Below are 21,553 nucleotides of genomic sequence, written 5' to 3'. Positions count from 1 at the left end.
TGGGAGGTCTGCTTGAACCTAGGAGTTTATAACTAGCTTGGGCAACATAGTGAGACCCCATCTCTACTATTTACGTATAACTGGTTTGAGATTCTTGTAATTTTTCATATAACCAAAATATTTTCTATTATGTGGTTCTTTTTTGTCTTTAGGGTTTGAATCATAATGCTGAGAAGTGGCAAAGTTTTTAAATTTTCAAGTTTATCAATCTGTACAATAATGGAATTTAAAGTTGAAGTTTTAACCTCTCATTTAACAAAATATGAAGATAGAGTTATATCTTCATCCTTTCTGAACATCCCAAACAAACACTTTCTTTGACTCCATAAAAAGATCTTGATTGATTAATATGTTTTTCTTATCTTTCAGGGAAAAAGCCAAATAAACCTTAATAAGAATAATAATTATTATTATTGTTAATATTTTATTGATCATTGCTATGTGTCAGGGATTGCTCCAAATGTTTTACTCATTTCATTGTCACAACTCTTCAATAAAATGGAACATAAAATTATTCCCATTTTAATGATAATGACATTATGGCAAAGAAAATCTATACAATGTACACAAATTATCCAAAAATCACACATGGAAAGTCCTTGTGAAAACCTGCTCCCAGATCCATAGTAGATGCTCAATAAATGGTAATTTCTGCATCTATCTAACCCCTACCTACATTTTTTTTTTTTTTTGAGACAGGGAGGGTCTCGCTCTGTCATGCAGGCTACAGTGCAGTGGCACAATCATAGCTCACTGCAGCCTCAAACTCCTGGGCTTATTTCATCTTTCCACCTCAGCTTCCCAAGTAGCTGAGACTATAGGCACATGCTACCATGCTTGGTTCAACCCTGACCTACTTGTTATTTTACAAAATAGAAAACTTTTTGCTAATTGTTTTATAACAGTTAGATATTGTCTATATTTCAATCTCCAATTTACAATTTCAGATAAAACCATATCATCATGATAAAAGCATGATGACAGGAACACAGTATTATTACAGAAACAAAGACAAAATAAATTAATACAGATACACAAACACATGTATGCAAAATTATACTTTTAACAAAGATATATGTTTTACTTTTGAAATATGTTTCATTTAGACTGCAAAACAAGCAAGAAGATTTATTATGAATCAGAGTTGTTTGTGCTCTCAGGAAGGAAGATAATGATCTAACCAATCTCTTTCACTGGGAACTGTTTTCTGAATATTATAAGGCCCCAGGGATTCCAGATGGAATACAGTATAATTAACTCTTCACCACCAAATACCTATGTTAGAAGACCTTGAGAATAAATGATTGCCTAATAGCAAATGGCATCCTACTTCTTGACTACACTTGCACCTGAGGATACAAAAGGACAAGGTGTATTTAACCTTAGAATGTCTCTATAAGATGAAAACAAGTAAGTGCAATTATCTCCACTTAAAGTCTAAAGTTGGCAAACACTTATAAGATAAATGACTTGCTCAAGACTGACTAGGAGGAAGAGTTTTAGTATAAAAACTTAAACTCATTATCTCTTTTTTACATGGGACTGAATGGAGGATTGAGAATGGCTCTTTATGTGGAAGATAACATATTTAATATATTTTCTTTCGTTTTAAGGCAGTATTGAAATGAAAAAAGAATAAACTTCTAGATTCTGATAGTATACATGGTAATAATGTAATCATTTTAGTAATAATTAAGCTATATTGGGTAATTTTTGCATGCCAAACAGCATACTGCATATTTACATGTTAAATCATTCCTTTTATGAAATTTTAACAATGACAATGATGTAATAGCAATGATTCTATGAAGAATCTGCTAAGATAAAGAAGCCTAGGCCAGGAACTGTGGCTCATGTCTGTAACCTCAGCACACTGGGACGCCAAGGAGGGAGAATAGCTTGAGGCCAGGAGTTTGAGACCAGCCTGGGCAAAACAGCCTAGTTTCTACAAAACAACCCAGTCTCTACAAAAATAAAAATAACATAAATAAATAAATAATCCTCTACTCAATAACAAAGTTCATTTGCCCAAGGATACGTATTTGGTAACTGAACATTTCTAATGATAATATGAATTTCAAAACTATTATTATTAGTTTGAAATGTTAGTGTATGATATAGAAATCATACCTATCAATCAGTATTCAGTAAATATTTATCTTCTACATTTATTTTCTTTAATAATATACCTTGGTCACTATTCCTGTTTATTATTACACCTTTATCTTCCTTACATTCCCAGTCATAGCCTTTCTATCTCCACTTATCATAAATTCAGTTTGAATCTTCCAGTTCTCCAAATAGACATAATGGTTATCTTTCTCTGTTTCTAACACTTTTGTAACAGTTCAAGTTATTCTCTCTATTTAAGATCCAGTGGTGACAAAGTGTTAAGTGCTGAGCATGCAAAGACAGTAAGACACGCACAGTTCCACTTTTATGGAATTTATAATGTAATGCCACATAAATTAAACAATCAACTCTAATATTAGTCATATGCATTTAGCATGACAACAGGATGCTTTGGAAACACATAAAGGATACGTACCCAAATAATGGAAAGTTTCTTAGGGAAAGTGATATGGAAACTGAAGGACAGTTAGCAATCAGCTGGGCAATAATGGAGCATGATGTTCTGGGCAGAGGGAAAAATATGTGTGAAGGACTAGGTAAAAGAGTTTAGGGTAATATAATTCAGAATATGTGATGCAGAAAGTAAGAGGTAAGGATGGAGTTATGCATATGCCTGATAGTAAAGAAACTTGAGAGCATTAATAAAGAATATAAAATTTTTGACTTCTTGATATGGTAACAATTCTTCAGCAGCTTTGTAACCAGCAGATTCAGTGGAGTATCATGATAAGTATAGGGAGAGGATCCATGTTGTCAGAAAATGAGGGGCGAAATAGAAATGAGGAAATAGAAACAGCGATTTTCCCTGTGACTGCAAGATATTTATTGGGAAATTTACGTAAATTTTATGATCCTACTATTAATATTACCACTGGATTAGATTTATAATAAGGATATCTTTCTGCTCTTTTTCCTTCTATACTTTCTTCTCCTGCTGATGCTACTGTTACTACTACAACTGTGATAGACACCTTTTTTTAAGCACTTCAGAGGAATAAAACAGGTGAATTAACTCATTGGTTCTCACAAACTGGTGATTTACCAAGATCACTCTGGCCTAAGAGTGGACCATTTATTAGAAGAAATGGATAAAGCAGTTAAGAAGCTGTTGTTATCCAATTGAAAGAAGACAGCAGCTTGAGATGAACACTGAATATAAGAAGTGGGCAATTGAAGTGATGGTTTACATGAATAGATCAGAAAATGTCATGGTGACTAATAGAGGCAATATGAAGGAAGTGAGAGAAGACAAGGTTATAGTTTATAATATTGCCTGACTGTCATTGACAAAAATAGCAAAATAGAAGTCTTTTCCTCCCTTTGTTTGAGGCAGGGTATGGATACAATGATGAATTCAATTTTGAATGTGTCAAATTTGAAATGTTATGAGATATCTAAGGAAGATGTCCAGTAAGCAGCTTACTATACAAACCTGGAGCTCAGGAGACTTAAATGTAGAAGTGGATATAGGAGAAAGTGTAGCATTATCAGAAAAGAAGGCTTGTAGCTTGGAAGGAGTAGGATCTGGATAATTACCAATATGTAGGGAATGGGCAGAAGAAAATGAGGTCACTAATAACAAATCCCCCAAAACAAAATGTTTCAAGATAAAGGAGGAAAACCAGAAGAAACTGGTACAACTAAAGCTAAGCTACAAAGAACATTTCAAAGGATGGAGTGGTAAAATGGTCAAATGCTATAGGGAAGGCAAATACAATTAAAAAGAAAGTATTGGCTTTAAATTTAACAACAAATGTGATTATTCTTTGATGGCTTTTAACATAGAATTATTTGCAAATGATAGTGGAGTAGTGAGATGGTGGGAGAAGAATCAATGTCTCCATGGGTTAGTGCCATGAAAGGGAGGAAAAGCAATAGAAACAGCAGGAATATAAGTTCCTACAAGTAGATTGACTGTGAAAGTGTGAAAGAGTGGAGAGAACTGGTAGTACTTTGCCTATGGTTAATATTCAGTAAATTATTAGTGGAAAATGGCAAGAAAAGGCATGTGCTACTTAAGCTTATAATCTGTTTTGATGTTCTTCACTGTCCCTTTATTTGTTGGCAAAGCTTCTCAACTTACCTCTTGGCATGGTATAAATTGCATAAGAAACTACTCAGAATTTCAGATTGATACTTGCCTTCAATTGTTTATGAAGGAACCAGACAGTAAGTTCCTTAGCAATTTCAGTCATGCGTGGAAATTCTACCTAAGTTAGCTGTACAAGTAAGAAGTCTGTTATTAGGAAATTACATTGTATTCCAAAAGCATGCCTATTCTGGCCACTCTATTGTAATACTAGAGATGCTTTCTATGCCTGAAAACAATTTTCATGCTAAGATGTTGAGTGTACACCATGCAGCCACATGAAACTAGGTATTTTACATATTATTACATTTTAATCCTCATATCAACAATGTTGACTGGTATCATATCCCTCATCTAAAACATCATAATATGTTTTAGATGAGGAAACCAAGTATCATGCCTAGGGTTCCATATAAATTGCAGAACCATAATTTGTACTTAGGCACATATAGTGAGGCAGGATATTAAAGAAAGAAAAGCAAAATAAAAATTAAAAGAAAAAAATAAAACAAGCTGCCTGTGTTAGGCAGACTCATTTCAAAGGCAGTAACAGGCAAAGTTTTGATAACGTTATCTAAGGGCCAGAGCTCAAAGGGATGTGCCCTGAAGACTTTCCCAGCACTCCCTCAATATAGAGATGTGAGGAGATAAGTTCTCCTATCTCTCCTTTAGTGTAAGTAAACTTCCCCCTCGAATCCCATGCCGTCTGCTATGTAACTATATCTTGCTCCTTGCTCTGTAAGTGTTATGAGTTCTTGTTTTCCCTATAGTTAATGATTGTAGGTTCCTGCTTTTTCATCTAAGCAGTGTAACAAAGGTCACCAGACGTGCCTGAGCAGGTCTAGCTTACAGCCAGCTGGACGCCATGGTGGGGGGGTCGCAAGATGAGTATTTGTGAAACTCCTTTGAACTTTGAACTAACCCAGATAATGACCATCTGGGCTGCATAGTAAGGGGTATACTAAACCTGAGTTATATGCCTGGCATAGCCTGATTAAGTGCCTTTGTCTTGTTTCTGTACATTTGTTTTCGCACCACTTAGGAGTAGGTATATGAGCAAGACCTTGTCTTTGTTCGGGGCCCAGTCTTTGGACATTGAGTCTGCTGTGTCTGAGTGCACTCAATAAAGATTCTCCTGCTTTACTCCGAGGTCTCTCTTGCCCTCCTGATTTTTCTGCAACATTTCTGGTGCGCCAGCCAGGAGGGAGAGATGACAGATTGGCTGTCTCCTTTGCCTGTGGGTCTGGGGCTCCCAGCCATGGGAGATCAGTTACCCCAAGCATGCCACTGGGAGAACCTCAACCTGAAGGGGAGATCGGCTCTCCTGCTTCTCCGGCGCCCCTCCCCTAACAGTGCAACAGAACCTGGAAGGGGTTACAGGACAATCCCAGAAGCAGCTCTACTGAACTGTGGTAAGGTTTTGGGGCTCAAGGCAGGACCTGTCCCGTAAGGACAGAAGAGGAGCTTGATCACCTCCCGAGGTATAACCACTAATTTGACCCAGAGAGGCTGGAGGTGAGAGTGGCTCTGCAATTCAGATGAAACTTATACCCCAACTGACATGGTATGTGAGAGAGGATTGCTAAGTCAGTTAGAAAAGGGAACTGGGAGAGGGGAAGTGTGTGAAACTGCGTGAGAGATGGTTCTGGGAGGGACTAACGCAGGAAGTAATGTGGGGAGACACAGATCTCTTAGTGTGGACTGTGTGCTCCGAGCGGTGTGGGACCGACCTGGGCTAGTGACAATCCACATCTGGCTAATAGGAGCTGCCCCCTGGCTGCAGCATCCGTGGTGGGAATAAGGAACTCTCCTAGCTAAGCAGCATCTGAAAACTCCCGTAATAGGAGACGGTCTGGTCGGTCAGAAAAGAAAGAGCGAGTGCACATCGTAAAGGGAGGAAATGTGGGGACAGTTGTTGAAACCCACTCCATTGGAATGTACGTTAAATAATTTTAAGAAAGTTTTTTCAGGGGATTATGGAATTAAACTGACCCCCCAAAGGTTGAGAACTCTCTGTGAATTAGAATAGCCCTCTATTGGTGTCAGTTGGCTGGCCGAGGATATTATAGATAGGGAGACAATAGGCCGGGCATTTAAGGTGGTGACCAGGGTCGGGGGACAGCAAGGGTAACCAGACCAATTCCCCTATATCAATTCATGCCTCAATATTATATAAAACTGACCAGCATGGTTGCAACCCTGTTTGGCAGCATATTGTAAGACACTAGTGGCCCAAGCAGCCGAACCCAAAAGTAAAATCAGCCATGCTGGCAGCTGCAGAGAAAAAGAAAAAGCTACAGGAAAGGCAAGATAAACGAGTTTTACAGGCACCTCAGGAGGAAACAGAATTTCCTCATCCTCCTTAGGTTCCAATCAACCCCCCTTTACCAAGACCAACTGCTTTTGCTGCTGGTTCATCTGTGAGGCCAACTGCCCCAGCTGCCCACAAGGAGTTAAATCCGAGTGGGTACATGCTCCCAGCCTCACCTGAGAAGGAGGAATCAGAGCTACAGAAAGTTAGGGCGGAAAGCCTAGAAAGTCAGGTAGGCTGTCTCAGGTCTGGCCGTGCCCAAGTCATGCAAATTGCTCTTCAGGAAATGAGAGGACCTGTCTATTATCAAGAGCATGGCCACATCCAGGGGGCAGAGTGAGCTTTTGTTTACCAGCTCTTTTCAATCACTGATCTCATGAACTGGAAGCATCATGCTCCCTCCTACACAGAGAAGCCACAGGCTTTTATAGACTTGATGCAGTCCATTATTCAGACAACCAATCCAACCTGGCCAGATTGGAAACAGCTTCTTCTGACACTGTTTAATATGGAAGAGTGCCAGAGACTGACACAGGCAGCCCTCCAGTGGCTAGAAGCAAATGCTCCTGCAGACACAGTTAATGCCCAGGCATATGCGCAGGGCCAGTTCCCTGAAACAGACCCCAATTGGGACCCAAATGACGCATCCCAGCTGCAGCATCTGCAGCAGTACTGAGAGGCAATCCTGCATGGGCTAAAAAATGGTGGGAGAAAAGCAGCCAATGCAGGAAAAAATCTCAGAGGTGCTCCAAGGAGCAGATGAAAGACCAAGCCAGTTTTACGAAAGACTTTGTGAGGCATTTCGGTTGTACACCCTGTTCAACCCTGAGGCTACTCAAAATCAGCATATGGTAAATACATCATTCATAGGGCAGGCCCAGGGCAATATTAGGTAAACATTGCAGAAGATGGAAGATTTCATGAGCATGAATGCTACTCAGCTTATTGAGGTAGCCACCAAGGTGTACATTAACCAAAATCAGGAGGCAAAGAGGGAGGCTAATTGAAGGCTTAAGAAAAAGGCTGATTTGCTGGCAGCAGCCCTTACAGGAAGGGAAGCTGGCTTTGCAAGGGGACACAAACATGGGTGTGGAAGAGGCCAGACTGGACAGGGATTTGAGAGTTGGCTGAGACTAGAAAGAGATCAATGGACCCAGTGAAAAAGGAAAGGACACTGGAAGGACAAGTGTCCAGAGAATGATAACAAGGAGAATGGTCTGGGCCATCGTATGGGAAGGCCACCAGCAGGGGGATACCACACCCAGGACTAACCACTGATCTGATTGGACTGGCAGGGGCTGAGGGATATGAGGACTAGGACAGACCAGGCTCCATCTCTTTGGGCCTCCAGGAGCCTATGATCACTTTGGAAGTAGGGGGCCAGTTGATGGACTTTATGGTAGATACTGGGGCTGAGCATTTGGTAGTGACCTGACTTATAGGGCCACTATCCAAGAACTGTGCAACCATTGTAGGAGCCATTGGAGTTTCAGAAAGAAGGCCTTTCTATCGGTCAAAGAGATGTGTAATAGGAGGACAAGGAGTCCAACATGAATTCCTATACCTTCCAAATTGTCCAGTTCCTTTGCTGGGAGGAGACCTACTTCAAAACCTGCAGGCACAGATTACATTTGGGTGGCAAGGGAATGTAACTTTAAACCTAGCTCACCCATAGGCTATGGTGTTAACCCTTACTGTCCTGAAAGCTGAGGAATGGAGGCTATATGCAGAAAAGACCCTGGAAGCAGGAGTAAATGATATGCACACATTACTTACTAAAATTCCCAGAGTTCGGGCTGAAAGTAACCTGCTTGGACTGACAGTAAATCAGGCACCAATTGTAGTGGACTTAAAACCAGGAGCAACTCTGGTTTGGGTCCATCAGTACCCACTACTACTTTCCAAGGCCATATGGGGAATCCACAAACACTTAGAGCGACTTCATAAGCATAGAATCATAGTCAAATGCCAGTCACTGTGGAATACCCCTCTCTTGTCAGTGAGGAAGCTGTCTAGTGAATATAGGCTAATGCAGGATTTGCATGCGGTAAACCAAGCTATAGTGACCATCCACCCAGTGGTGCCAAACCTGTATACTTTAATGGGACATATTCCAGCAAGTGCCACTTGGTTTTTACAGTCCTAGATTTAAAGGATGCATTTTTCTGCCTCCAGCTGGCACCGATTAGTCAGACTATTTTTGCTTTCCAGTGGGGTCAATCACAGTACACTTGGACAAGACTCCCACAGGGATTTAAGAACTCTCCCACAATCTTTGCAGAGACACTGGCCTCAGATCTTAAAGACTGCACCTCACCGAGCAGTGACTGTGTCTTGCTCCAGTACATTGATGATCTCCTTCTAGCAGCCCCAACCCAAGAGGACTGCTATCAGGGGACTCCTGCACATGTTATGGAAGGCAGGATATAAAGTGTCAGGGAAAAAGGCTCAAATCTGCTCTGAAAGTGTCCAGTGTTTAGGCTTCTATATAAGCCAAGGGAAAAGATGGCTCGGTAGTGAATGGAAGCAGGCTGTTTGTGCACTTCCTACTCCAACCACCTGGTGACAAATAAGAGAGTTCCTAGTGTGTCCAGAATTGGTTCCTTCTGGTGGGTTCTTGGTCTTGTTGACTTCAAGAATGAAGCCACGGAAGCTTGCAGTGACTGTTACAGTTCTTAAAGGTGGTGTGTCCAGAGTTTGTTCCTTCAGATGTTCAGATGTGTCCAGAGTTTCTTCCTTCTGGTGGGTTTGTGGTCTCGCTGACTTCAGGAGTGAAGCTGCAGACCTTTGCAGTGAGTGTTACAGCTCTTAGAGGTGGCATGTCCAGAGTTGTTTGTTCCTCCTGGTGGGTTCATGGTCTTGCTGACTTCAGGAGTGAAGCCACAGACCTTCACTGTGAGTGTTACAGCTCTTAAAGGTAGTGAGGACCAAAAGAGTGAGTGGCAGCAAGATTTATTGTGAAGAGCGAAAGAACAAAGCTTCCATAGCATGGAAAGGGACTTGAGTGGGTTGCCGCTGCTGGCTTGGGTGGCCAGCTTTTATTCCCTTATTGAGGACGGTCATCAAGGACAGGAGATTAACACTGAGAAGGCCTCACCAGTGTCAAGGAGGAAGACAATTTCCTGACCATCAATGGTTAAATGTACCTGGGACTCAGTGAGGGTGACATGTGCTGGCACTTGCCTCAAGCATCCTCAGTCCTGTTGTTGGATCATCTGGTTGGGGGCTTCTGGCCTAAAGAACCTTTGCCCTCTGGGGCAGTGTGCCTTCCAGTGATTGCATCGGCATAGCAGACATGAATGAGGGGTTGGCATAGCAGACATGGATGAGGGGGTGGCTTGTTTCTCATTGGACAATCTTTTTTAAAGTGTCCTAGTAAACCACACTGATAACAAGCCCTCACGGGTAATTGGCCTGCTCCATTTTCTGTCCTCTCTGAACCACCAAAGTTTGTTTGTCTGAGGGCCATGACTAAGGCTGCGGCCTTTCTCTGATCTCGCTTTTCCTTTTGGGCCTGTTCCTCTTGGCCCTATTATAGAACACCGAGGTTGCCAGGTTTAATAATGCCTCCAGATTTTGTTCAGGGCCCAGGGCTCGCTTTTGGAGCTTTCTCTTGATATCTGTGGCTGACTGGGTAATAAACTTATCTTTTAGGATCAATTGACCCTCGAAGGAGTCAGGTGACAGGGGAGCATATTTCCTTAAGGCCTCTTGTAGCTGCTTGAGGAAGGCAGAAGGATTTTCTTCCTTTCCCGGAGTTATGGTAGACATCATTGAATATTTCATGGGCTTTTTTCCTAATTCTCCTTAGTCCTTCTAGAACACGGGTCAACAGATGTTTGCGACTCCAGTCCCCATGATCTGAGTCGAGGTCCCAGTGGGGATCCATACTGGGGACAGCGTGCTGACCAGTAGGGAATTTGTCCCTTTCTTCAGCTGTCATTCTATCATTTACTTGACTAAGATATCAGGTATCTCCAAACTCTCGGGCTGCAGTTAAAGCCACATTCTTTTCATTAAAGGCCAGGGTTTGGTCTAACAATAGCATGACATCTCTCCAAGTGAGATAGAAGGTTTGCCCTAGACCCTGTAGGACATCTATGTACCTATCAGGATCATCTGAAAGCTTCCCCAGGTCTACCTTGATCTGCTTTAAATCAGAATAGGAGAAGGGGACATGTACCTGGGTTGAGCCAAATTCCCCTCCCCCTACAGCTTGAAGGCGACATAACCGATAGCTGGGGGATTTTTGTGGTTCCTTGGAGATTTCTTTGCTTGTTTCCTTCTGGGAAGGGGAGATTAGAGGAGGCTTATCATTAATAGGAAGGGGAGCTATATGGAGGCTAGGATATGGGGGTAAGCTGAGAGGTCCTCCTGTGGGATGTAAATTGCAAGATTTGCATAGTTGTGTATTCTCCTTCAATGAAAAGAAAGCTTGGACATAAGGTATTTTGCTCCATTTGCCTTCCCTCTTACAGAAAAGGTCAAGCTGCAGGATAGTATTATAATTTATACTTCCCTCAGGTGGCCATTTTTCCCCATCAGAGAGAGAATATTGGGGCCAAGCCATAGTGCAGAAAAAAATAAGCCACCTCTTTTTCAGGGTTTGTGGGCCAAATTGGTCCCAATGAGTTAGGATGCATTTCAAGGGTGAGCCTGTTGGTGCTTGAGTGTTTCTCATCTGAAAGAAAAAACCACCTGTGGTTTTGCTTTGTTTCTCCCCTGCCCAAGAACCCGCAACAGTCCCTGGACCCTGCTGATCGGAATAGTTGCACTCACTGACACAGCAGCAGAAACACTAGTTTTCCTCCTAGACCACAAGGAGGACCGAGGAATGTTGGATTTAGCAGTCCTTACCAACACATTCTCAAAAACCTGCACCCATGCCTGTCCTCCTAGACCACAAAAAGGACTGAGAAAAATCAGATTTAGTGGCCCTTACCGACACATTCTCGAAAACCTGTTAGAGTCCTAAGCATTCTCCTGTTAGTATTGGAACTTTACCCCATCCTATAAAGATGTTATGTCCCCAGAATGAAGTGGAGGGCCATACCCTGAGGGAAGGAAGGAATCTCCAGGGTTGGAAGAGTGACGCCTTTTTTCCTCACTTATATGAATAGGAAGAATACAGTTTCTGAGGCTCCCCATATCCTAGCTTCAGGAATAGCTTTTGTTAGGCCTGCTTGTCTGAGGAGGGACCCTAAAATTCCAGATAATACCCCCTACAATGGGGCTTTGGGCAAAAATTATGTCTTTCCAATTAGTGAGCCTGGGTGCCTAAAGAAGGGAATAGAGTCCTCGAGTTTACACTAGAAATCATTCTTATAGGAGGAACTAGAAAAGCACCAGAAACAGGGAGTGGTTTTTAGAAGTGGGACTAGCCTCGGAGAAGAGAGGCAAGAGGAAGTTTGTCTGACAGGCATTAGGACCCAGGAGGCAAGGGTCAGGATAGATAGGATAGATGGGCGAGTCTCACTTAGGCGACATGACTTTCAGAGTTTCGCTTATGGCTGCAGGGTCAACCGACTTGTTGTCGGGACCCCGGAGCTGAATGGCTTTCCTCTCTATTGACACTCGGCTCAGCCCAGAAGTACAGGAAAAGCAGAAACTGGTTCCAGGGAAACCAATGCTCCCAACTCCGAGAGTCGGGGATTGTTAGAGAACACTTTCCCAGAAAGCCTGACACCCGTGTCTTTAGTCCAGCAGGCATGCTAGTTGCTTTTAACTGGCCAACAGGTGCCTGGTATTTAGCCCCCGAATTCTAAGGAAAAATAGGACAGAATAGCAAGTGAAAGGGGTCTGATGCTACTCACCACTTGGTGATTGTCCCTTCACGGTTGCCAAAATGTGTCCAGAATTGGTTCCTTTCAGTGGGTTCTTGGTCTCACTGACTTCAAGAATGAAGCCACAGACCCTCGCGGTGAGTGTTACAGTTCTTAAAGATTGTGTGTTTGTTCCTTCAGATGTTCAGATGTGCCCGGAATTTCTTTTTTGGTGGGTTCGTGGTCTTGCTGGCTTCAGGAGTGAAGCCAGAGACCTGCGCAGTGAGTGTTACAGCTCCTAAAGTGGCACATCTGGAGTTGTTTGTTCCTCCTGGTGGGTTCATGGTCTCGCTGGCTTCAGGAGTGAAGCCACAGACCTTCGCAGTGAGTGTTACAGCTCTTAAAGGTGGCACATCTGGAGTTGTTTGTTCCTCCTGGTGGGTTAGCGGTCTCACTGACTTCAGGAGTGAAGCTGCAGACCTTCACAGTGAATATTACAGCTCTTAAAAGTAGTGACCCGAAAGAGCAACCCAAAGAGTGAGCAGCAGCAAGATTTATTGTGAAGAGGTAAAGAACAAAGATTCCACAGGGTGGAAAGGGACCTCAGCGGGTTGCCACTGCTGGCTCTGGTGGCCAGCTTTTATTCCCTTATTTGGCCCTGCCCACGTCCTGTTCATTGGTTCATTTTACCGAGCACTGATTGGTGATTTTACAGAGTGCTGATTGGTCCATTTTACAGAGTGCTGATTAGTCCATTTTACAGAGTGCTGATTAGTGTGCTTTACAGAGTGCTGATTGGTGCATTTACAATCCTTTAGCTAGACACAGAGTGCTGATTGGTGCATTTACCATCCTTTAGCTAGACACAAAAATTCTCCAAGTCCCCACCCGACCAAGAACCCCGGCTGGCTTCACCTCTCACTAGGGGCAGCAGGGTTCTGCTGCGTCTGGATCCCAAATTTCTTGCTCATGGCTAAACCATTATGTGAAGCCACAAAGTGAGAAAAAAGGAGCTCCTCCTCTGGGAGACTGACCAGGAGAAGGCCTTTAAAGAAATCAAAGGACCCTTGACTCAGGCTCCAGCTTTAGGGCTGCCAGATCTAACTAAGCCTTTCTTTTTCTATGTCCATGAGTGAAAAGGAATGGCCATAGGGATCCTAACCCAAGTCATAGGGTCATGGCACTGCCTGGTGGCATACTTATCCAGGAAGTTAGATTCTGTGGCACTTGGATGGCCTCCTTGTTTTAAGGCACTATCTGCCACTGCTCTGCTGGCACAGGAAGCTAATGAACTGACTTTAGGACAGCAACTGACAATCCAGGTACCGCACTCAGGTGTAACTTTGATGGACCAAAGGGGGTACCATTGGTTATCAAATCCGAGAATGACTTAATACCAAGGGCTCTTATATGAAAATCCCTGAATAACTTTAGAGATTGTGAATACTCTAAACCCAGCTACCTTGCTCCCCAATGAGTCAGTGCCAGGAAGTGCCCTTCATTGCCGTGTGGATGTGGTAGATGAAATGTTCTCAAGCCAGAGAGATTTGACAGATCAGACCCTCAGGGACCCGGACATTGAATATTTTATTGATAGGAGCGGCTTCATTCTAGGGGGGGTCCACTGAGCGGAGTATGCAGTAGTGACTTTGGACTCAGTAGTAGAGGCACAGTCTTTGCCTACAGGAACTTCTGCTCAGATAGCAGAGCTAATAGCTCTGAGAAGGGCTCTCCAGCTAGCAAAAGACCGAAAGGCAAATATTTACACAGACTCTAAATATGCTTTTCCACTTGGCATGTTCATGGGGCTATTTACAAAGAAAGAGGACTTTTAACTGCTGGAGGAAAATAAACAAAGTACAGGAAGAAATTCTACAGCTCTTAGACACCGTATGGGCCACAAAGCAGGTGGCAGTGATGCACTGTAGGTGGCACCAGAGGGCAGGAACATTAGAGGCTAAAGGAAATAGAAAGGCAGACACAAAGGCAAAGTGGGCTGCAATGATGACTCCACCTTCTAAAGAGGAAGCCTTAACTATGCCTCTCCTCCCAGAGATCCCCCTCTCGGAGACCCTAAGCTACACTCCAAATGAAAGAGCTTAGTTTGCTCAGGAAAATGGAAGCTACGTTGAAGGAGAATGGTGAAAATTCTGCAATGGGAGGCTAGTTGTACCTGAAATAGTGGCCCAGATAACGACCATCTGGGCTGCATGGTGAGGGCTATACTAAACCTGAGTTATCAGCCTGTCATAGCCTGATTAAGTGCCTTTGTCTTGCTTCTGTACATTAGTTTTCACACCACTTAGGAGTAGGTATATAAACAAAACCTTGTCTTTGTTTGGGGCCCAGTCTTTGGACGTTGAGTCTGCTGGGTCTGAGTGCACTCAATAAAGATTCTCCTGCTTTACCCTGAGGTCTCTCTTGCCCTCCTGATTTTTCTGCAGCAATAGCACCAAAGCAACTGCTGTATTTCCTCATACCACATCATAATTCCACAGGGAATTATGGATATACTCAGCACGGCCTTTCAGGGCCATTTTGTTGTAAAAAGTAAAATAAACATTATCCTCTGCTCTACATTAATTTTGCAGGACCATTTTTTTTCACTTTTTTCTTTATTTGTGCAATACATATTCTTCTAAACATCTCCCATGTACAGCAGTTCTTTATGACAAATACAACGGTCGAGGGGGAAAGCTAAATCAGAAATGGATTCCACATTCAAATAACTTAGGGTCTAGAAAGAAGACAAACCATGTAATTAAGTGACCATAAAACAAGATGGGGATGAATAAAAGTGATTGTAGACAGTAAACACCATAACAAAGTAGTAAAAATCTTGCAGTACAGAACCTAGAGTAATTCTTGACTCCTTTTCTGTTCTTTTTCTACAGACAGGGTCCAGGTTGGCATGGTCACAGTTCACTGTAACCTGAAACTTCTACGCTCAAATGATCTTCCCACCTAAGCCTCTCAGTCTCCCGAGTAGCTGGGACTGCAGGTGCATGCCATCACGTTTGGCTAATTTTTAGTATTTTGTGTAGAGATGGGGTCTTGCTATGCTGCCCAGGCTGGTCTAGAACTCCTGGCCTCGAGTCATCCTCCTGCCTTGGCCTCCAAAAGTGCCGAGATTACATGTGTGAGCCACCAATGTCTCCTTTATTTATTATTCCTGCAAACTAAGCAAATGGTTTAACTTAGAGCCTCAGTATCTTTACCTGTGAAATGGTAATAATAGTACCTACCTTAAAAGTTGGTGTTGGATTAAATGAATAAGTTACCCTGATCTGTTTCATTGTCTACCAACAACAGAATTGTTGAGGGAATTAATTATATCACAATAATTACATAAAACCTAATTGATATTAGTTTAATAAAAAGTAATGTATAAATGTTTGTTCTTTTCCATTGCTATAGCTAGATTAATATTGATCCAGAGCATAGAAGGACCATTCTTGCTTTTCCAAGTTATTCAATCTGGATAGTTCACAAGTGAGCAACTATACATAATTAACAACAACCTAACTATTACAACTATATAGTTCTGATATGTCAGTTATAATATCTGTTGATTTAATTATCAAACCTCAATGTAATGGTTATGAGCTTTTAATATTTCTTTCCCATTTACCCAAAAGCTTTAAATTACATTTCTTTGATATGACAGAAAATAGGAAATGGAAACTAAGAGATTAGAATTAAAACATATTTACTATCATAGCTTTAATATAACCATGGTTACATTGTTTAATGCACACGTAAAAGTAGCCAGGGACAGCTGGGTAGCCTGAGGTTCCCATGCTAGGAAGGAGAGCATCCTGCTAAGGATTGGAGTTTAGAGACACACGAATGAAAGTATCTGTCAGGATGGAATGATCTAGATATGATGGCCATGGATCTTCATTGATAGAGAAACTGTCTTCTGTATTAACTGACAGGAGAAAAGTGAAGAAAAGCAAAGGATATTCAAATGACAGATAATTTGGCTGCATAAGGGAAGAATAGTTCTAACTTCAAATCCAGCCCTTTCATATCTGTGTCTTAATGTTGCTCCATGTTTTATGCCAATCAAATTTGATAACATGAACTAAGATTTTTTATAAGGTATAGTGTATGGAAAAATAATACAGCCTTATTCTTAGGTATCAACAGACTATTAAACAAACTGTAATCATAAGATATGAAATTGGGTTATTTATTACAGTGATAAACCGCTGAACATTGTGTGAAAAACGTAGGATAGTTTTGCATTAATTTTAAGTTTTTATAAATTCTATAAACATTGGGATTTATTAAAAAACAGTGTTTTAACTGATGATATTCTGTTGGAATTTTCTAGCAATAAATGGGTGTTTTGTTCAACTCTTCATTTGTTTCTTGTTTCTGCTGTTGTGATTTATTGAAGTATATAATTTAGTAATCAAAGAACATTCATTTTACTTAGATTTGTATAATGTTAGAATGGTGATCATTAAAAAGTCAGGAAGCAACAGATGCTGGAGAGGATGTGGAGAAATAGGAACACTTTCACGCTATTGGTGGGAGCGTAAATTAGTTCAACCACTGTGGAAGACAGTGTGGGTGATTCCTCAAGGATCTAGAACTAGAAATACCATTTAACCCAGCAATCCCATTACTAAGTATATACCCAGAGGATTATAAACCATTCTACTATAAAGGCACATGCACATGTATGTTTATTGTGGCACTTCTCACAACAGCAAAGACTTGGAACCAACCCAAATGCCCATCAATGATAGATTGGATAAAGAAAATGTGGCACATATACATCGTGGAATACTATGCAGACATAAAAAAGGGTGAGTTCATGTCCTTTGCAGGGACGTGGATGAAGCTGGAAATCATCATTCTCAGCAAACTAACACAAGAACAGAAAATCAAACACCACATGTTCTCACTCATAAGTGGGAGTTGAACAATGAGAACACATGGACACAGGGAGGAAACATCACACATTGGGGCCGGTCGGGGGTTGGGGAGTGGTGGGGGAGGGATAGCATTAGGAATACCTAATGTAGATGATGGGTTGATGGGTGCAGCAAACCACTATGGCACACGTATACCTATGTAACAAACCTGTATGTTTTGCCCATGTACCCCAGAATTTAAAATATAATAATAATTTTTAAAAAGATTCACTAAAAGGCAAAAAAGAAAGAAAGAAAGAAAACAAACTGAAGTGATCATTTTATACATTTCTCATATTATTTTAGACAAGTAAAATATGGCTCAGCAATATGAGATATGTAGCTCAGGGTCGTACTGCTGGTTTGTGGAAGAACTGGACCCAAATGCCTCTTTTCAGGCTCTCAATCTTATGCCTAGAAGAGCCCCAGAAATTAACAGCATTCCAACTATTAAAATATTTTAGTTTTTACATATTTAAAAAGGAGTTAATAAAATCTGTCCTGTCTATGTCAAGGATCTGTTGAATATAAAAATATCACTTTTTAGGAGAATAATGAATTGACTATTATCACTTTAGTATTCACTTTTCATGGTTAATGCACATAATATCTTTTGGTACAATATTTGCTTATTTTAACTCATTAATGAATATGCGTGTCAATAGTTTTGTTCAGGTTAACATAGACTAACCCTGACTATTATCAACATGTGGAATGTTGCATTGTTCCCAAGGTCTTATAATTATACTCCAGAGGACATTATATTTCAAGGGACACGTTCAGAGAAGTAAACAAAGAAGAGGCCTAAGGGAAACAATCATCTTCTTTCAACATTTCCTGAGCTTTCAACAACTCAATTTCTTTCACATATTAAGTTATATACCACTCAAGGGCACTATCATTTTAATGAATTTTTCTCTTTGATTCTTCATCTGAGAATATTTATTAAAAGCTCTCAGGAATTTAAAGGTAAGTTTAATTTGACTACATTTCTTCCATACGTACTTTGGTTGTGAGTCTTTTAGGAATAATCATGCTAATCTAGAATATTGAACTCATATACAAAATTTAAACCAGATTCAGGAAATATTAAAACATGTTTATTTGATTTTTCCCCTTCAAAGTGTGCTCCATAATCACATATATTCACAAATCACATATTTCAGAAGTTACAAAGAACTGTATATTAATCAAGTTAAAATGTATTTCATAATGGTTTTCACACATGAAATAAGGTTCAAAATGTATAATTTCTCCCATCAGAAATGATTGCAAATTAAATTTTACATTTTATATAATTAGGTAAAATATGTGAGTACTAAAGGACAAATATTATTAAAACAAATTGGTAGTGTGATTCAGCTTTTCTAAGTTATTTAATATGCTCTTTAGTATATACCTCACATATGAGTATACACTCTCATATATTTATAATGTACTTCATTGTATGAGATATTGAGCCAAATATGATACTGTTTTCCTATCTTTTCAATCTAGAGTACTCTTCTGTACCTTCATTTAACCAAATTTCATGGTCAAAAGCCTTTATTATAGCTTTGCCAACCACCTCACCATAGTTTGGCACTTCTCTTATGTAACCTTGTATTTTTTTGTCTTTTCAATGTTTACAACACAGTATAGAATAGTAATTAAGATTGCAGGCCTTGGAGTCAAACTATCTGGGTTCCAATCCAATCTACTCTGCCACTTGTTGACAGAGTAGCCTTAAAATTGGATTATAAAACTAAACCTAGTAGATTCTTAAATGAAGATTAAAAATATAATATATGCACTGTTGTGTTTGTTTTGAATAATCATTTAGAATATCTTAATTTCATTCTGAGTGGGACTCTGTCTATCTTTTTTTAAATTTGGTCTTGAGGTCTCTCTCAGGAGAATGGCTATAAAATTTAGCTGTGCCCTGTTGGGGCTCCAGAGTATTTGGATGTGGATGTTTACAATGTGCTTTTCACAGGATACTTCTTTATTCTGGTGGACAATCTAATGCTTAAGGATCTGATCTGAGACCAGGTGTCTCTCTCATAGGAAATTTGTTTACACTGGCAGACAATCCTGTGGCTCTTATCTGATCAATGTCAAGTTTATTCCTACCAAGATAACCATTATCTGTGAAAGCTCTGACTAGGAAAGAAGTTAGACTTGGGTGTGTCAATCAGACAGACACAGAGTAGCAAATCAACAAAACACATAAAATAACTGAGGTAGTTTATTACTTACAGATCCAAAGAGAAGAGGGCAGTATGCCCCGCACAGCACCAAAGGGAAGGAGGGAGCTGTCCAGGACACTTGTGTTCAGTCTGCAAGTGGGGAGCAAGGGAGAGAAAGAGGGAGGGAGTTGTGGCCAAATCCTTTAGTGGGGTTCAGAGATTTACCCAAGCAGGTTTCCCACAGGAAGTTTTAATTGGTGGGTTCATGGCAAGCAAGAGCAAGTTTCATGTGCACACTGTGACTGAGAGATGGTCCCTGCAGCATATCTGTGCAGTCCATGTAGGGTGTGCACATTAGTGGGGTGAGTAAGTAGGTTGTCTCTTGCTGTCCCATAGGGAGGTGGTCACCACACTGAGGGACTGAGGGGGGCAGAGAATTGGAAACTGTGTCAAGGGTGCCTACTGCTTCTGGTATGATAAAGTGTGGCTTATATTCAAATGGATGCAGAAGAAACGTAAAATTATAAGAATTCACTACACCTACTAATACTTCTCAGTATATCCTAAAGTGGTAACTTAATGATCAAAATTATTATACAATGGTAAACATAAATAACTTAATTCCTGATAGTTTTACCTAGTGTACTAGAGAAATTTCATTTCATTTCAATATACATTTATTTACCTCAAGTATAGGTCTTGGAATTAGAAAGTCAAATATATGTCCCAATCCTAAGACAAGAAATCTAAACTCTAATTGGAGAAACAGATTAAATAAGTAATAATAACACAGTGGAATATATGAAATAATAGCATCATATTCAAGATATGGAAATGGAGAAAAGAGAATAACTCATTTTGTCTGTGGACCACTGGAAAGACTATTCAGAGGATGTGACTTGTAAAAGATATTTGAGAAATGAATAGGAGTTTTCTAGGTAGACAAAGAAATTAAGGGTCTTAGCTTGAAAAATGAGACATGCAAGTGCAACAGCTTAGTGTGAGGGGGACGGATCTATGCTTAAAAAAGAAATATATATATATATACACATATATATATATACATATATATATATATACATATATATATATATATATACACACACACATATATATATATATGGCCTTCTTGCTGAAGGCTAAAGCCTAACTGTGCTAGAGGGAAACAGGGAAAGTCGGAGAAGTTTGAATGTAAAATCCGTGGTAAAGATCTTTAAACTTTATCATTTAGATGATGGTGTTGTGGTCAGGTTTTAGGAAGATCTCATTGATCTCAATCAATGGAGAAGGGGAGGAACTAAACTTGAGAATAGGAGGACTAATTTTAAGACCTTTGCCATAGTACAAGATAGGTAATAGTAAGGAAATAAATTAGGGCAGGTTATTTTTGGCAATAATAATGATAATATTAATAATGGCTACCATTTATTATGTTTTATCAACATACACACTGAACCCATTATCTTATTTCTTCATCACAAGAGTTCTATAAAGTAAATTATTACTTCCATTTTAAGATTAGGAAAATGAAACCTAGGTTCATGATTTGTCCAGAATCACATTGGTTAGCAGACCTAACATATGAACTCTGAACCTAGAGACCTTACAGTCTTAACCACTAAGCCACTTCATGAAGAAAAGTTGCTATTCTGAAGGATACTTAGAAGATAAAGCAACTAGATTTGTGAATCAATTGAATATGCAAGATTCTAAAATTATTCCCATATTTCTGAGTTGTGCAATAGGGTAAATATAGTTTCACTAAAATATTAAGTACACAGGAATCTGGGACAAGAACTGGTTCAGTGGAGAGTAAGGCTAACAGGTTAAATTTATGTTATTGAATTTGAAATGCCCAGGGAATTTCTAGAGGAAAATGGGCAAGAGTAGCTGGCTCCATAGGTCTGGAACTCAGGCCATAAAATAAAACTAAAGATAAATCTGCATTCTTGAGGCATCAGCTTATAGATGCTTGTTAAAACCATGGGGAAGTGTGTAAAGTAAGATAAAAGAGCCAAGTATGGAGCTCCAAGGAAGAATAACATTTCTGGCCTAAATAAAATAGAAATACTCCTTTGGGAAATTGAGAATGCGGTAACACGGAAATCAAGAGAAGAGAGTTCCAAGGAAAATACATGGTCGAAAATATCAAATACCATATA

General features: G+C 40.3%; 1 protein-coding gene across 1 annotated transcript in view, besides 3 other annotated features; it reads left to right on the top strand.

The window, feature by feature from the left end:
• Positions 1 to 16,657, top strand: part of SULT1E1 (sulfotransferase family 1E member 1) — a 39,024-nt gene extending 22,367 nt beyond the window's left edge. Inside the window, exon 9 of the transcript XR_007057952.1 lies at positions 1,107 to 16,657. The gene's annotated coding sequence lies outside the window, so the exon portion shown is untranslated. The remainder of the gene's footprint in view (positions 1 to 1,106) is intronic.
• Positions 4,894 to 5,188: an enhancer, noted in NCBI's record as "tiled region #10246; HepG2 Activating DNase matched - State 5:Enh". NCBI's record gives its function as "activates a minimal TATA promoter and a strong SV40 promoter by Sharpr-MPRA in HepG2 cells {active_cell/tissue: HepG2}" and the evidence as "EXISTENCE:reporter gene assay evidence [ECO:0000049][PMID:27701403]".
• Positions 5,753 to 5,932: a silencer, noted in NCBI's record as "silent region_15467". NCBI's record gives its function as "represses an Ori minimal core promoter by ATAC-STARR-seq in GM12878 lymphoblastoid cells {active_cell/tissue: GM12878}" and the evidence as "EXISTENCE:reporter gene assay evidence [ECO:0000049][PMID:35858748]".
• Positions 6,671 to 6,760: an enhancer, noted in NCBI's record as "active region_21599". NCBI's record gives its function as "activates an Ori minimal core promoter by ATAC-STARR-seq in GM12878 lymphoblastoid cells {active_cell/tissue: GM12878}" and the evidence as "EXISTENCE:reporter gene assay evidence [ECO:0000049][PMID:35858748]".
• Positions 16,658 to 21,553: the final 4,896 nt, after the last annotated feature.

The sequence above is a fragment of the Homo sapiens genome, chromosome 4 (genome assembly GCF_000001405.40).
Source record: "Homo sapiens chromosome 4, GRCh38.p14 Primary Assembly".
Classification (NCBI taxonomy): Eukaryota; Metazoa; Chordata; class Mammalia; order Primates; family Hominidae; genus Homo; species Homo sapiens.
Note: the sequence above shows the minus strand (reverse complement) of the source record. Positions and strands in the feature narration are given on the sequence as shown.